Genomic DNA, 16,413 nt, shown 5'->3' with positions numbered 1-16,413 from the left:
AAGATTACCTAGATTTCCTCCTGATATCTTCTAGGAATTTTATAGTTTTGCATTTTACATTTTGGTCTCTGATCCATTTTGAGTTATCTTTGTGAAAAGTATTGAGTCTATGTATGTCTAGATTTATTTTCTTTGCATGTGGATGTCAGTTGTTACAGAACTATTAGTTGAAGAGACTAGTTGTGTTCCATTATATTGCCTTTACTGTTTTGGTCGAAGCTTATTTGACTATATGTATGTGTATTTCTAGAATCTCTATTATATTTCATTAATATATCTTTTTATTATTTTACCAATAGAACACTATCTTGGTTACTGTAGCTTTATAGTAACTCCTGAAGTTAGGTAGTGTCATTTCTCTTACTTCGTTTTCATCTTTTAATATTTTGTTGACTAGTCTGAGTCTTTTGCCTCTCCATGTAAACTTTAGAATCAGTTTGTCAACATCCACAGAAAAGTGGGTGTTTCTGACTCAACATGTTGAAGTCTTTTTTGATTGTGACTGTGTTGAGTCTAAAAAAGGAGGGAATAACTGACATATTTTTTGTAAATAATCAACAGGTTTTATTTTTTAGTAGTTACATATATATATACACATATATATGTATATATATACATATATATGTATGTGTATATATATATACATATATATGTGTATATATACATATATATATGTGTGTGTGTGTATATATATATATATATATATATATATATATACAGAATAATTGAAAAGATAGCACATAAAGTTCCATATACTCACCCCTCATGTTTTCCCTATTACTAACTTCCTGCATTAGTATGGTACCTTTGTTATAATTAATGAACATAATATGGATGCATTTAACTAAAATCTACAGTTTACATTAGGGGTTCATTCTGTTGTATACTTTATGGGTTTTGACAAATGTGTGACATGTATACACCATTACAATATTATACAGAGTAGTTTCACTTCCTTAAAAATTCTGGGCTTCACCTATTCATTCTGGGTTTCACATCCCTAAAAATTCTGGACTCCCCTCCACTGACCCCTAGCAACCACTGATTTTTTTTCTGTCTATATTTTTATGATTTCTAAGATGTCTTATAATTAGAATCATACAATATGTAGCCCTTTCAGATTGATTGCTCTCATTTAGCTATATGCATGTAAGCATCTTCCTTGTCTTTTTCTGACTCAATAACTCATTTCTTTTTATCACTGAATAGAATTCCCTAGTATGATTGTGCCACAGCTTGTTATCCTTTATCTAGTGAAAGACATCTTTGTTTCTTCCAGTGTTTGGTGATAATAAATAAACATTCAAATGAAACTTTTTGTGTGTAGACAATAGTTTTCAACTCAACTGGGTAAATACCTAGGGGTGTGATTTTTGGATCATATGGTAAGACTATGCGTAGCCTTGTAAGAAACTGCCAAACTATCTCTTTTAAAGTGGTTGTACCATTTTGCATTCCCACCAGCAATGAATGAGGTACCTGTTGCTCTACATCCTTGACAGCATTGATTATAATTAGATTTTTGTTAGTTTTTTTGTATTTTAGCTGTTCTAGTAAAATGTTGCAATTTTCACAGTTGTTTGAATTTGCAATTCCCTAACACATGATGTTGAGCATATGCATGTTTGATATCTGTATATCACCACTTATATTTTGGTAAGGTGTCCACCCAGATCATTTGCTCACTTAAAAATATATTTGTTTTACATATAAAAATGCTCAACATCAGTAAATATCAGAGAGATGTAAATTATAACCACAATGAGATACCACCTTACTCTTGCAAGAATGGCCAGAATTAAAAAGTTAAAAAATAATAGATGTTGGGGTGGACGTGGTGGAAAGGGAACACTTTTACACTGCTGGTGGGATTGTAAACTAGTATAATCACTATGGAAAACAGTGTGGAGATTCATTGAAGAACCAAAAGTAGAATTACCATTAGATCCAACAACCTCACTACTGGGTATCTACTAAAAGAAAAGTAAGTTATTATATGAAAAAGACACATGCACTCACATGTTTATAACAGCATAATTTGCAAATGCAAAAATATGGAACTACCTAAGTACCCATCAACCAACCAGTGGATATAGAGAATGTAGTATGTATACAACATGGATTAGTACTAAGCCATAAAAAGAAATAAAATAATGTCTTTTCCAGCAATTTAGATGAAGCTGCAGGCCATTATTCTAAGTGAAGTAACACAGGAATGAAAAACCAAATATTGTGTATTCTCACTTATAAGTGGGAGTTAAGGCATGAGGATGCAAAGACATAAGAATGATAAAACAGACTTTGGGGATTCAAAGGGGAAGGGTGAGAGGAGAGTAAGGGCTAAAAGGCTAAATATTGGATACAGTGTACACTGCTCAGGTGACGGGTTTACCAAAATATCAAAAATCACCACTAAAGAACTTATCCATAACTACCTGTACCCTCAAAACTATTGAAACAACAATAATTTTTTAAGGAATGTTTGTTGTCTTACTGAGATTTTAATTGCTTTTAATTTCATGTGTAATAAATATTTTAATTGATTCATAATAATTGTACATGTTTATGGGACACATGAGATATCTTGATATATGCATAAAACATGTAATGAGCAAATCAGGTTAATTAGAATATCCATCACTTCAAACATTTATGATTTCTTTGACAATTTTTAGTCTCTATCAATAAACATGGATTATTTCTCAATTAGTTTAGTTCTTTGATTTATGAGAGCTTTGTGGTTGTCTTTATATACTTTTTGCACGTATTTTGATGGACTTATACATAAGTATTTCATTTTGAAAGGTGCTAATATAAATGGCATTGTGTTTTTAGTATCAAATTCTAGTTTTTTATTTCAGACATATGAATACATGATTGACCCTTGTGAATTAATTTTGTAGCCTACAATCTTGCTATAGTTACTTATTTGTTCTAAGAATATGTTGGCCATTCAAATAGTTTTTATTAAATATGTTATGAAACCAGCAACCCTGAAGTAGAACATTGCCATCAACTTGTATTTCCTGCCTATAATTATTATCTTGAAATCTTAAGAACTCCTATTATTATTATTATTATTTTATCATGGGACTATAGGTGGTAAATACTATAGTGTTGTTTATCTGTGAATAGCTTTATTTCACCTGTTTATTTAAAGTGTATTTTCTTTGAATATAGACTTATGGCTTGAAATTGTATTTTATTATTTTAAAGATTTCACTTTTCCTTTCTGTTTTTCATTATTTCTGTTAGAAATTCAGCCATTGGGCCGGGCACGGTGGCTCATGCCTGTAATCCCAGCACTTTGGGAGGCCGAGGCGGGCGGATCACGAGGTCAGGAGATCGAGACCATCCTGGCTAACACGGTGAAACCCCGTCTGTACTAAAAAATGCAAAAAATTAGCCGGGCGTGGTGGCAGGCGCCTGTGGTCCCAGCTACTCGGGAGGCTGAGGCAGGAGAATGGCCTGAACCCGGGAGGCGGAGCTTGCAGTGAGCCGAGATGGCGCCACTGCACTCCAGCCTGGGCGACAGAGCGAGACTCCATCTCAAAAAAAAAAAAAAAAAAAAAAAAAAAGAAATTCAACCATCATAATTCTAATTCCAGGAAGATGGATAAAATCTAATTTCCCCTATTTCTCCTGCAATGAACACAAATAACCTTGACATTATATGTAAAATAAACATAAGATTCTGAAATTTGAACAGAGGACAGCAAGATGGCTAGGCACCGAGGAACCCACGAAACAAGGAATAACAGGACGCTGAGTTTTCTGGAGTTTCATTTATCCTATATATCCTTGACTTGGATCAAAAGAATTTGACAATATGAACATGCCAATGGGTACAGATTTTTTTAAATGTCAAAAAGCATGCTTTCCCTAGACAAGTAACAACAACAAAAAAAGAATTCTAGCAAGACAGAAAACTTACAGAAAATAGCCACTCTACCACAGCCATGCGCTACACAAAAATCTGTGGCTCACCTTCACTCATGCTAGCAAAAGCTGAGTGGGGAGCCTAGACTTCTACCCCTGCAGTCTGTACAAAGATTTCCAATACCACCATTGGGGTGAGGACAAAGAAGTCAGGTGGGGAGCCAACACTTTTGCCTCTGCCCAATGGTAATGAGGTCAAACACCTCCTCACTTCTATTGGAGTATCAAGTGGACCATGTGGGAGGAAGTGACAAAGCATCCTTAACCATCACAGGGAGGGAGATATCAGTGGGACCGAGGGGAAGCCGTGAATTCTGTTCTCAACCAGTGGATACAAGAAGTTTCACCACTCCCAACTGCCAACAGAGGCTGAGTGAAGAACCTAAATTTCTACCTGTACATAGGAGTAAAAAGGTGGTGCTCCCTCTTTCTCTGCCAGCGTAGTATCAGAAAAATCCAGCTATGACCTAAGGCTTAATATGATCCAAAGTCACACAATATAATACCAAAAATGTTTTTATTTTTATTAAAAACCCCTTCTCAGATAAAGAACGAGGAAGATGTCAGACTGGAAGCGAAAAAGATAATTCATATTTTTGGACACTGTGATGACAGAGGTGTTAAAACTATCTGAGAAAGATTTTAAAGCAACCATCATAAGCATGCCTCAATGAGCAGTTATAAACATTCTTGAAACAGATGACAAAATAGAAATTATCAGCAAAGAAGATACAAAAAAGAAACAAATAAATTGATTTTTTTTAAATAAAAAGCTCTGTAACTGTGAACTTGAAGAGAAAATGATAGAAATTGCTCAATCTGAGCAACAGGAAGAAAATACTTTGATAAAATAGAATAAACAGAGCCTCGGGTACCTGTAAGACTATTACAAAACATCTAACATTTGAGACATCGGATATCCAGGAGAAGAGGGCAAATACAGTGGGGGTAAAAAGGTACTCAAAGAAATAATGACGGAAAACATCCCAGATTTGGCAAAAGACATAAACCTACAGAGTTAGGAAACTAAGCAAATCACCAACAGGGTAATCCACCAAAAGATCTATCAAGATCATAGTCAACTATCTAAAAACTAAAGGCAAAAAAATCACCTTGAAACCAGAAAAAGAACAATGACACTTCACTTGTAAGAGAAGAGTGATTTTAAAAAGCATTGATTTTTCATCGGAAACCTTGTAGGCCAGAAAGAAGTGGCACAGCTTTTTTAAATGACCAAAAAGACTTTTTGTCAATCCATGATCTTATGTCCTGTGAGAATGTCCTTCAGGTATAAAGGGCAAAACATGGCATTCATAAAAGAAGAAACACTAAGAGAATTTGTCACCAGCAGACTTTCTCATAAAGAATGACTATAGAAAGTTCTCTAAACACAAAGGAAATAATAAAAGAAATTTGGAATATCCAGAAAAAAAAAAAACCGTGTAAGCAAAAAACTATGGGTAAATAAAATAGATTTTCCTCCTCCTCTTTATTTTTCTAAATTATGCTTGAGGTTTGACACAAAATGTTTGACACTGTCTGATACATTTCTACATTTTTGTAGAGGAAACGGTGAAAACAATTACACTATAAATTGAGTCAGGTAGTAAAGGGATGTAAAGTGAGATATCTATAATTTACATGAACTGTAAAAATAATGACACTCATAGATGGTGATGAGTTGCGTATGTATAATGTAATAATTAGAACAACCACTAAAAAAACTATATGAAGTACTGTAGGTTGAATTGTGTTCCCAGAAAGTGTATGTGGAGTTATAATCCTCAGTACCGCAAAATGTGACATTGTTTGGAGATACGTCTTTATAGAAGTAATCAAATTAAAATGAGATTCTTAGCTTGAGGGAATAGCTACTCCATTTTCCATGATGTGAATTATTATTCATTGTATGTTTGTACTAAAGCATCACATGTACCCCATATATATATATATGTGGGTACTGTGTACCAACAAAAATAAAGGTTTCTGCACATAAAAAAGACAATAGTATATTTAAGAACATAACAGTAATTTCCTTAAATGATCCAAAGCCAGCAATTAAAAGACAAAACTTGGCAAGGTGTATTAACAAATGTGAATCAACTATATGCTGTTTATAAGAAACTCATTTCAAACACAATGATATAGGCAGTAATACAGTACAGCAGGAGTGGCCACAGTAATATTTAACAAGTTAAATTTCAGAACAAAAAAGTTATCAGACACAAAGATGAGCATTATATAATGCCAAAAAAAATGTTCAATCCCCTGAGAAAACAACAATCCTAAATGAGCATGTGCCAAACAACAGAGATGCAAACCATGCAGAACAGAGTATAACAGAACTTAAGGGGGAAATAGACAACTCTACAGTCACAGCTGGAGATTTCAACACCCTTCCCCCAACCATTTATACAGTAACAAGACAGAAAAAAAACTTTACCTCATTACCACTGGGCAGAGGCAAAAGTGTTGGCTCCCCACCTGACTTCTTTGTCCTCACCCCGATGGTGGTAACGGAAATCTTTTTTACAGACTGCAGGGATAGAAGTCTAGGCTCCTCACTCAGCTTTTGTTGGCATGAAGGAAGGTGAGCCACAGATTTTTGTGTAGCACATGGCTGTAGCGGGGTGGCTTTTATCTATAAGTTTTCGGTCTTGCTAGAATTCTTTTTTTTTTTTCCTGTTACTTGTCTAGGGAAAGCATGCTTTTTGAGATTTTAAAAAATCTGTGCCTATTGGCATGTTCATATTGTCAAATTCTTTTGATCCAAGTCAAGGATATGTAGGATAAATGAAACTCCAGAAAACTCAGCGTCCTGTTATTCCTTGTTTCGTGGGTTCTTCGGTGCCTAGCCATCTTGCTGTCCTCTGTTCAAATTTCAGAATCTTATGTTTATTTTACATATAATGTCAAGGTTATTTGTGTTCATTGCAGGAGAAATAGGGAAAACTATATCTTATCCATCTTCCTGGAATTAGAGTTATGATGACTGAATTTCTAATAGAAATAATGAAAAACAGAAAGGAAAAGTAAAATCTTTAAAATAATAAAATACAATTTCCAACTATAAATCAAAGATATAGAAGAATTCAGCAACACCAAACTGAAAATAATTACAGAAAGATAGCAGGAAAATATTTAAACACTTGGAAACTAATCAATGCGTCAAAGAGAAAGACTCAAAGAAAATAATAATTTAAAAAGTAGAAAGAGCTTAATGAAAATATAAATGCAATATGTCAAATATATGAGAAAAAGCTAAAGTAGTGTTGAGGAAAATTTCTAGCAGTAAATTAACAATCTAAGCTCTCATCTTAAGAATGTAGAAAAATGAGAGCAAAATAGAACCAAAGCAAGCAGCAGAAAAGGAACAAAAATCCATGAGAAGAAATCAATGAAATCTAAAACAAAACTTTAAAAATTACTGAAGAATATCAACAAATCAATAAGCCAGTTCCTTTAAAAGATCAATTAAATTGCCAAACATCTAGCACGAATGACAAAGAAAAAAGAGAGACGATGCAAATTACCAATATCCAGAATGAAACAGTAGGTATCACTTTTTTTTTATTTTTATATGTACATAATATGTGGATAAATTTATGGGACACATGACATTTTTGATATAGGCATACAATACATAATAATCATATCAGGGTAAATGGGTATCTATCACCTCAAGCATTTATCCTTTCTCTGTATTACAAACAACTAATTATATTCCTTTAGTGATTTGTAAATGTACAATAAATTATTGTTTACTGTAGTCACCCATTGGGCTATCAAATACCAGATCTTCTTCATTCTATTCAACTATACTTTTGTATCCATTAACCATTCTTATTTCCCTCACCACCCTCGCCCCACTACTTTTTCAGTCTCTAGTAACCATTATTCTGCTCTCTATTTCCATGAGTTCAATTGTTTTAATTTTTAGCTCCCACAAATAAGTGATAACATATGTAATTTTTCTTGATGTCTTGCTTATGTCACTACACATAATGACATCCAGTTCCATGGTGTTGTTATGAATGACAGGATCTCGTTCTCTTATATGGTTGAATAATATCATTCCATTGTGTACACGTATTACTTTTTCTCTATCCATTGGTCTGTTTATGGATACTTAGGTTCCTTCCAAATATCAGCTATTTGAATAGTGCTGCAAACATGAGAGGAAGTGCAGATACCTATCTCTTTGATACACCAATTTCCTTTCCTTTGGGTATATATCTAGAAGTGGGGTTGCTAGATTGTATGGCAGCTCTATTTTTAATTTTTTTGAAGAACCTACAAACTGTTCTCCATAGTGGTTGTACTAATTTACATTTCAACCAACAGTGTATGGGGATGGAGGGGTCCCTTTTCTCCACATCCTTGCCAGCATTTGTTATTGCATGTCTTTGGACAAAAGTGATTTTAACTGGGGTGAGATGATTTCTCATTGTAGTTTTGATCTGCATTTCTCTGATGATCAATCACATTGAGAACTTTTCTATATACCTGTTTGCCATTTGTGTGTCTTCTTTTGATAATTGTCTATTCATATCTTTTGCCCATTTTTAATCAGCAGGAAAGATTTTTTTCCTACTGAGTTGTTTGAGCTCCTTATATATTCTGGTTATTAATTACTTATCAGACAGATAGTTTGAAAATATATTCTTCCATTCTGTGGACTGTATCTTCACTTTTCTGTTTTTTTTTCTTTCCTGTTCAGCTTTTTAACTTGATGTGATCTTATTTGTCCATCTTTGCTTTGGTTGCCTGTGCTTATAAGGTATTACTCAAGAAATATTTGCAAAGACCAATGTCCTGAAGGGTGTCCCAATATTTTCTCATAGGAATTTCATAGTTTGAGGTCTCAGATTTAAGTCTTCAATCCATTTTGATTTGATTGTTGCATATGGTTTCATTGATCTGCATATGGATATCCAGTTTTCCCAGCACCATGTATTGAAGACATTGTCCTTTCCCCAATGCATGTTCTTGGCAACTTTTTAAAAAATGAATTCACTGCAGATGTATGGATTGTTTCTAGATTTTCTATTCTGTTTTATTGTCTCCTTTTATGCCAGTACCATGTTATTTTGGTTACTGTAGCTCTGTAGTGTAATCTGAAGTCAGGTAATGTGATCCTTCCAATTTTATACCTTTTGCTTAGGGTAGCTTTGACTATTCTGGGTCTTTTGTAGTTCTACATAAATTTTAGGATTGTTTTTTCTATTTCTGCGAAGAATGTCACTGGTGTTTTAATAGGGATTATATTAAATCTGTAGGTTGCTTTGGGTAATATAGACATTTTAACAACATTTATTCTTCTAATCCATGAAGATGGAATATTTTTCCATTTTCTGTCCTCTTCAATTTCTTGCATTAATATTTTATAGTTTTCATTGTAGAGATATTTCATTTCTTTAGTTAATTCCTAGATATTTAATTTTATTTGTAATTGCTATAAATGAAATTACTTTCTTGATTTCTTTTTAAGATTCTTTGTTGCTGGCGTATAGAAATGCTACTAATTTTTGTATGTTGATTTTGTATCTGAAACTTTACTGAATTTGTTTACCAATTCTAATACTTTTTTGATGTAGCCTTTAGGTTTTTCCAAACATAAGATAACATCTGCAAATAAATGATAATTTAACTTCTTTCTTTCCAATTTGGGTGCCCTTTGTTTTCCTTTTGCCTGATGGATCTAGCTAGGACTTGCAGTACTATGTTGAATAACAGTGGTGACAGTGGACATCCTTGTCTTCTTCCAGATCCTAGAGGAAAGACTTTCAGTTTTTCCCCATTCAGTATAATACTAGCTGTGGGTCTGTTGTATATCATTTTTATTGTGTTGAGCTATGTTCCTTCTATATTCAGTTACTTGAGGATTTTTATCATGAAGAAATGTTGAATTTTATCAGATGTTTTTTCAGCATCAATTGAAATGATCATATAGCTTTTATCTTTCATTATGTTGTTATGATGCATCACATTAATTGATTTGCATATGTTAAACCATCCTTGCATGCCTGGGATAAATCCTATTTGGTTGTAATGAATCATCTTTTTAATGTGTGGCTGAATTCAGTTTGCTAGTATTTTATTAAGAATGTATGCATTAATGTTCATCAGGGATATTGGCCTGTAGTTTTCTTTTCTTTTTTTTGGTGATGTGTTTTTTTCTGATTTTGGTATCAGGGTAATAGTGGTCTAATATGATTATTTTGGATGTATTCCTTTTTTCTCCATTTTTTGGAGTAGTTTGAGTAGGTTTGCTGTTATTTATTTACCTGTTTGATATTCAACAGAGAAACCATCAGGTCCTGAACTTTTCTTTGCTAGGAGAGCATTTATTACAGTTTCAATCTTGCTACTTGTTATCTGTCCATTCAGGTTTTGGGTTTCTTCACAATTCAATCTTGAAAGTTATACGTGCCTAGAAATTTATCTGTTTTTTTTTTCTAGGTTTTTCTAATTTATTGACATATAATTGCTCATAGTAGCCTCAAATAGTCTTTTCAATTCCCGTGGTAGCAGTTGTAATGTCTCCTTTTTCATCTCTGATTTTATTTATTGGGGTCTTCTCTCTTTGTTTCTTAGTCTGGCTAAACACTTGTCAATTTTCTTTAACTTTTCAAAAAATCAATTTTTTGTTTTGTTAATCTTTTATATGAGTTTTCCTGTTTTAATTTCATTTATTTCTGCCCTAACCTTTATTATTCCCTTCTAAAAATCTTGGATTTGGTTTGTGCTTGCTTTTCTAGGTCCTTAGGTTGTTTATTTGAAGTTTTTTCACTTTTCTGACATAGAAAAACATTTTTTCACTTTTCTTGCTGCTATAAACTTTCCTCTCATTACTTCTTTCATTGTATCCCACAGGTTTTGGAATGTTGTGTTTCTGTTTTCATATGTTTTAATAAATTTTTCAATTTCCTTCTTAATGTCTTCATTGAGTCACTGGTCATTAAGGAGCAAATTGTTTAATTTCCATTTGTTTATATAGTTTTCAAGATTCCTGTTTTGATTGATTTCTAGTTTTATTCTATTGTGGTCAGAGAAGACATTTGATATAATTTTAATTTTGGGAGGGGCATTTTTTAAGACTTGTTTTGTGACCTAACATATTGTCTATCCTTGAGAATGAGCCATGTGCTAAGGAGATGAATATGTATTCTGTAGCCATCAGATAAAATTTTCTGTAAATATCTATTAGGTCCATTTATTCTGCAGTGCAGATTAAGTCCGATGTTTTTTTCTTGACTTTCTGCCTGGATGATCTGTCCAATGCTAAAAGCGGGGTATTGAAATCTCCACCTATTATTATTGTATTGGAGTCTAGCTCTCTCTTTACCTCTAATAATATTTTTTATATATCTGAGTGCTCCAATGTTGGAGGCATGTATATATAAAGCTGGTATTAATATATTCTCTTGGTAAACTGACATCTTTATCATTATATAATGACCTTCTTTGTCTCTTGTTAAAGTTTGTGCCTTGAAATCTATTTGGTCTGAAATAAGTATAGTTACCCTTCATCTTTTTTAGTTTCCATTTGCATAGAATATCTTTTTCCATCCCTTTATTATCAATCTACCTGTATCTTAATAGGTGAAATGTGTTTCTTGTAGGCAATACATTGTTGTTGGGTCTTGTTCTTTATCCATTCAGCTTTTCTGTATCTTTTGATTAGAAAGTTTAGTTCATTTACATACAATAATATTATTGATGGTAAGGACTCCCTCCTGACATTTTTTTTATTTGTTTTCTGGTTGTTTTGTGGTCTACTCTTCTTTCTTTCTTTTACCAGGAAAGTACAGTGGAGCTGGTCATTTTAATTCAATCAGGAGCTAAACTGAATTGAGGCTGGGTTGTAGATTTAGCAGTGTTCTTTCAACTCTAAGTCTCCTTGCTTACAGAATTGTAGGTGAGAACCTGTGGTATTATTCACAGAGGATCCTGACACTGGCATGTCCTGAACACTAATCATTGTCTCCTCAGAATATTAATACTGTGAAACTTTTATTTTTAAAAGATTTTTCATGTGCTTTTTAATTTTGACCTCTGAAGATTCCAATGTAGAAAAACGTCTTGCAGGAAAATTCTGTCAAAAGCTTCAACTCAGATTTCTCTTCCTTTTTACCAGAGTTTCAGTCCTCAATAATCTAAATTTGTCTCTGCATCCCTGCCAGATTCTTTTTGGCGAGATTGTTCTCAGGATGTCTCTAAGAAGAATGAGAGTCCAACACTGAAAATGTTCGTAGAGTTTTAAACTTTCTCCCAAGCAAAACAACCCAAAAGACATTCCAAATGGATGATCATTTAGTTTTTATTTAAATATATAGAAGTATGGCAATAGTCTACTGTAAAATGCATTGGTTTATACTTTAGAACATTTATAATTGTTAAGAACAGCTGACATTAGTATGGTCCTTTGGAACACTTTCAAGTATTATCTCCACACTGAAAATATTCTATGAAGTCCAATATGGACATTTTACAAATCTGAGTAAATCTCAACCCTATGGCACTGAATAAAACAATATTTCCATATTATTCATCTTAGAGTACATTGACAATTATTGTTCTTCAGATCTCTAGATAGTTTGAGCCTCCTTACTCTTTTCGAGCTCGTCTCTTCTCCCTCCATTGCCTTCTGTCTTCACTGACTCATTTTCAGGTCCTAATGTTGGAAGCTTCCTACCTCAGCTCAAGGACTTTACCTATCTCTTTGATTCCAACTGCCTAATACATGTGACACCAAACCTAACTGTCTGAGAATGTATTTTAGCCTTTTATCACAACTCCATTCAAAGCACAACACATTTTTCCTTATAGCTTTTTTCACCATTACTGTTGTACGTTAAGTTAAGCCACTATGATTAATTTCTTTCTTCCTCACTTAACACTATGTGCCATAGATTTTACTGCTCATTGACATCATAACCTGAACACAGTACTTTCAAATATAGAAGTTTGAGGGAACCTATAAACATTTATTAAGTGGCAGTGAGAGAGGAAAACTGAAGAAAGTAATACATGTACTATCTTTACTCCTAATGTGGGTGGGCCACATCCAATCAGTTGAAGGCCTGAATAGAACAAAAATGTTGACCCTCCCATGAGTAACAGTGAACTGTTCCTGCCTTTCTGCTTTGAGCTGGGATGACAGTCCTTTCTTGCATTCACACTAAAAGAAACATTGGCTCTTCTCAAGCCTGCCAGGTTTTGTACTGGAAGTATACCATTAGCTTCCCTACGTATTTAGTTGGCCAACTGCAGGTCCTGGAGATTCTCAGCCTCTTGATACTATACCTTAAAATAAATCCACCAATTTGCAACATCTATATCTGTATATCTATGTGTGTCTCCTATTCTGTTTCCCTGGAGAATCCTAATACAAATGATTTCCTCTTCTTGATAATATCTAATTTGAGACCAGCCTGGACAACATAGCAAAATCCCATCTCTAGAAAAAAAAAAAATAGTCAGAATTGGTGGCACACACTTGTAGTCCTAGCTACTTGGGGTGGGAGGGGAGGTGAGGTTGGAGGATCTCTTGAGCCCAGGAAGTCAGGGCTGCAGTCAGCAGTAATTGTGCCACTGCACTCCAGCCTGGGTGACAGAGGCCGACCCTGTATCTAAAATAAAATAAGTATAACTAGCTTTAGTATCTTCAATTATTTTTGATGAAAGTCTAAAACATTTACTTCATTCAGTAGTGCTTTTTTCATTGTTAAGGTAATCTAAACCCCAAATATAATTAAATCTGGTGCAGTAACTTTTTAAAGGTGTTTACATATATATTTTCTTTCTTTATTTTCCTATATGTGTCTCATCCAAGCAGGGAAAACTATTTTTGTGGATTTTCTTGCCAAGAGGAAGCTTGTAACAAGGAAAAAAGCAGAAATTGCCCATGAGAAAATTCTCAGCTGGGCGTGGTGGCTCACGCCTGTAATCCTAGCACTTGTGGGAGGGCGAGAGGGGCGAATTGCCTGAGCTCAGGAGTTTGAGACCAGCCTGGGCAATATGGTGAAACCCTGTCTCTACTAAAATACAAAAAATTAGCTGGGCGTGGTGGCAGGCACCTGTGGTTTCAGCTACTTGGGAGGCTAAGGCAGGAGAATTGTTTGAATCCAGGAGGCAGAGGTTGCAGTGAGCCGAGATTATGCCACTGAACTCCAGCCTGAGCAACAGAGAGAAAAAAAAAAAAAGAAAAAGAAAATTCTCTTTAAGGCCACTATTTTTTTTTCAAAACCTCAAGGCACTGAGGAGATTATGCTGAATGTCCTGTAAGGACCAGAGAAGCAGAAACATTCTTAAGAGAAAGAAGGAGTTTCCTAATCAAGAAAGGTCTGTTACTTTCTGTCCCACTTCCCTGACTTTGCCCTGGGAGGGAATAACATCAAGAGAAATATTACTTAAATCTAAGCTTGTCAATGATTCTTGGGCTCTATGTGGGACACAGAAACAGTAAAGCTAGCAGGCCCCAGGCAACACAGGGACAGCAGGCTTTGCGGTAATTGAGGCAGACAAATAGCCAAGGGCTGAAGGTGTCTTTGTGCTATTTTAGGCCACTGAGAATTTGCACTATCCTGGGATGCAAAAAGATTTTAGGGAAAAATGAGATTATCTTTCATGTCCCCAGGGCAGGTTGAGAACTCACAGTAAAACATCAAACTCACTCAAGACCAGGAAGTATTGTTCAATATGTTGGATACCTGGCTTCATGGACTGGAATTTATATTTTTAATATAGCCTATTTGCCACAGAAAGATGAGCTGAGGACTAACCTTGTTCATCTCTTTCACAAACTTTAGATCTAGTACTTACAAGCATATCTTCCAATAAGTAAAAGCATGACAGAGATATCAAGACTAGTTAAACTAGATTGCATTGGTTGAGTCACAAAAGATAGGTGATGACACATAAATACTCATAATTATGCTACAAAGTTGACAATCCATGGAGAAACTAGTTAAAGTTCACTTTTCTTTGAGTAATCATAATTTAATCTTTCCGCAAAATAGGAAACGTCACGGTATTTGGCTTATTCTTAATCAGGTGTTACTACCATCATCATTTACATGTAATATTTACAAAATATTTAATGTAAGCTTTGGAACCAGATCTCAGAAACAATCCATCTGCATAAACATTTGCAAAAATGAAAGTATAGCCTACAGAAAACAATAACGTCTCAGAATATCACCAGTAACAATCCTCAAATCTCAGGAATTAACATATTTTTATTACTGTTGGCTGTGAATTCAACCTTAAATTTTTGTCCAGATTAGAAAAAATATATACATGAATACATTTATTCACTTCCTCTTAACTTTTCTGTATTTTCTTGTTTTCGGAAAGCCAATTATTTGTGATAGCTGTAGCTAACAAGCACATTTGTTTACTTCTCAGCTCTAGCATGTCTAGGGAAGGTTTAAGGATTTGAGTGCTTTCTTTCTCTGACCCAAAGTAGAGCTATTAATTGCAGAGAACACTATCTGCTGCTTCTAATAAAGAACAAAGGCAAACAAAGATAAAACACATGCAAAACAATACAAAAAAACAAACCAAAATTCTGGAAGAGCAGAACAAAGTTGGATTACTATGATAACCTATGGCTCTTCGGGTATTTCTCAATAGAAAAGTTTTTTTTTTTCTCCTTCTTTCATTAATTTTCATTCAAGTTATCAGCCATATCATTCAAAAAGCCATTCCACATTGCAGACAGTTAAAATATTGTAAATAATAGAAATGTATACAGATGTCATCATTCAATAAATGCTTATGGTTGCCTGCCTTGTACTGGGTACTTGGGTACTGATCATGTAACAGTAAAAAAAAAATCAGATAAAAAATCACTTCCTCTACAGAACTTGTATTCTAGTGAGAGTATGTGTGGATGGGATGGGGGAAAATAAAACATAAAATAAATGTATAATAACAATAGGAGCTAGGTGCGGTGGTTCACACCTGTAATCCCAGCACTTTGGGAGGCCAAGGCTGATGGATCACTTGAGATCAGGAGTTTGAGACCAGATTGACCAATGTGGTAAAACCCCATTTCTACTAAAAATACAAAAATTAGCCAGGTGTAGTGGTGCATGCCTTTAGTCCCAGCTACTCAGGAGGCTGAGGCACCAGAATCACTTAAACCCGGGAGGTGGAGGTTGCAGTGAGCCGAGATCAAACCCTCAATAAAAAGGGTTTCTTAGTTTGTTTGCACTGCTGTAACAGAATACTATAGGCCAGGTGGTTTATAAACAACATAAATTTATTTATTACTGTTCTAGAGCCTGGAAGTCCAGGATCAAGGTGCCAGCAGATTCAGTATCTTGTGAGGGCCTGCTTCCTAATTTAGAGGAGGCTTTTTGCTGTGTTCTCACATTACAGGAGCAGAAAGGAAAAGTCTCTTGGGCCTCTTTTATAAGGACATGAATTACCTCAAAAACACCCCCTCTCCAAGTAACATCAAAT

The 16,413-nt window shown here is 34.4% G+C and overlaps 1 annotated feature.

Moving 5' to 3' along the window:
* Positions 6,311–6,605: a silencer, noted in NCBI's record as "tiled region #9105; K562 Repressive non-DNase unmatched - State 24:Quies". NCBI's record gives its function as "represses a minimal TATA promoter and a strong SV40 promoter by Sharpr-MPRA in K562 cells {active_cell/tissue: K562}" and the evidence as "EXISTENCE:reporter gene assay evidence [ECO:0000049][PMID:27701403]".

Source organism: Homo sapiens, chromosome 14, assembly GCF_000001405.40.
Source record: "Homo sapiens chromosome 14, GRCh38.p14 Primary Assembly".
NCBI classification, from domain to species: Eukaryota; Metazoa; Chordata; class Mammalia; order Primates; family Hominidae; genus Homo; species Homo sapiens.
The sequence above is the reverse complement of the archived record's forward strand: the minus strand, read 5'-3'. Positions and strand labels throughout refer to the sequence as shown.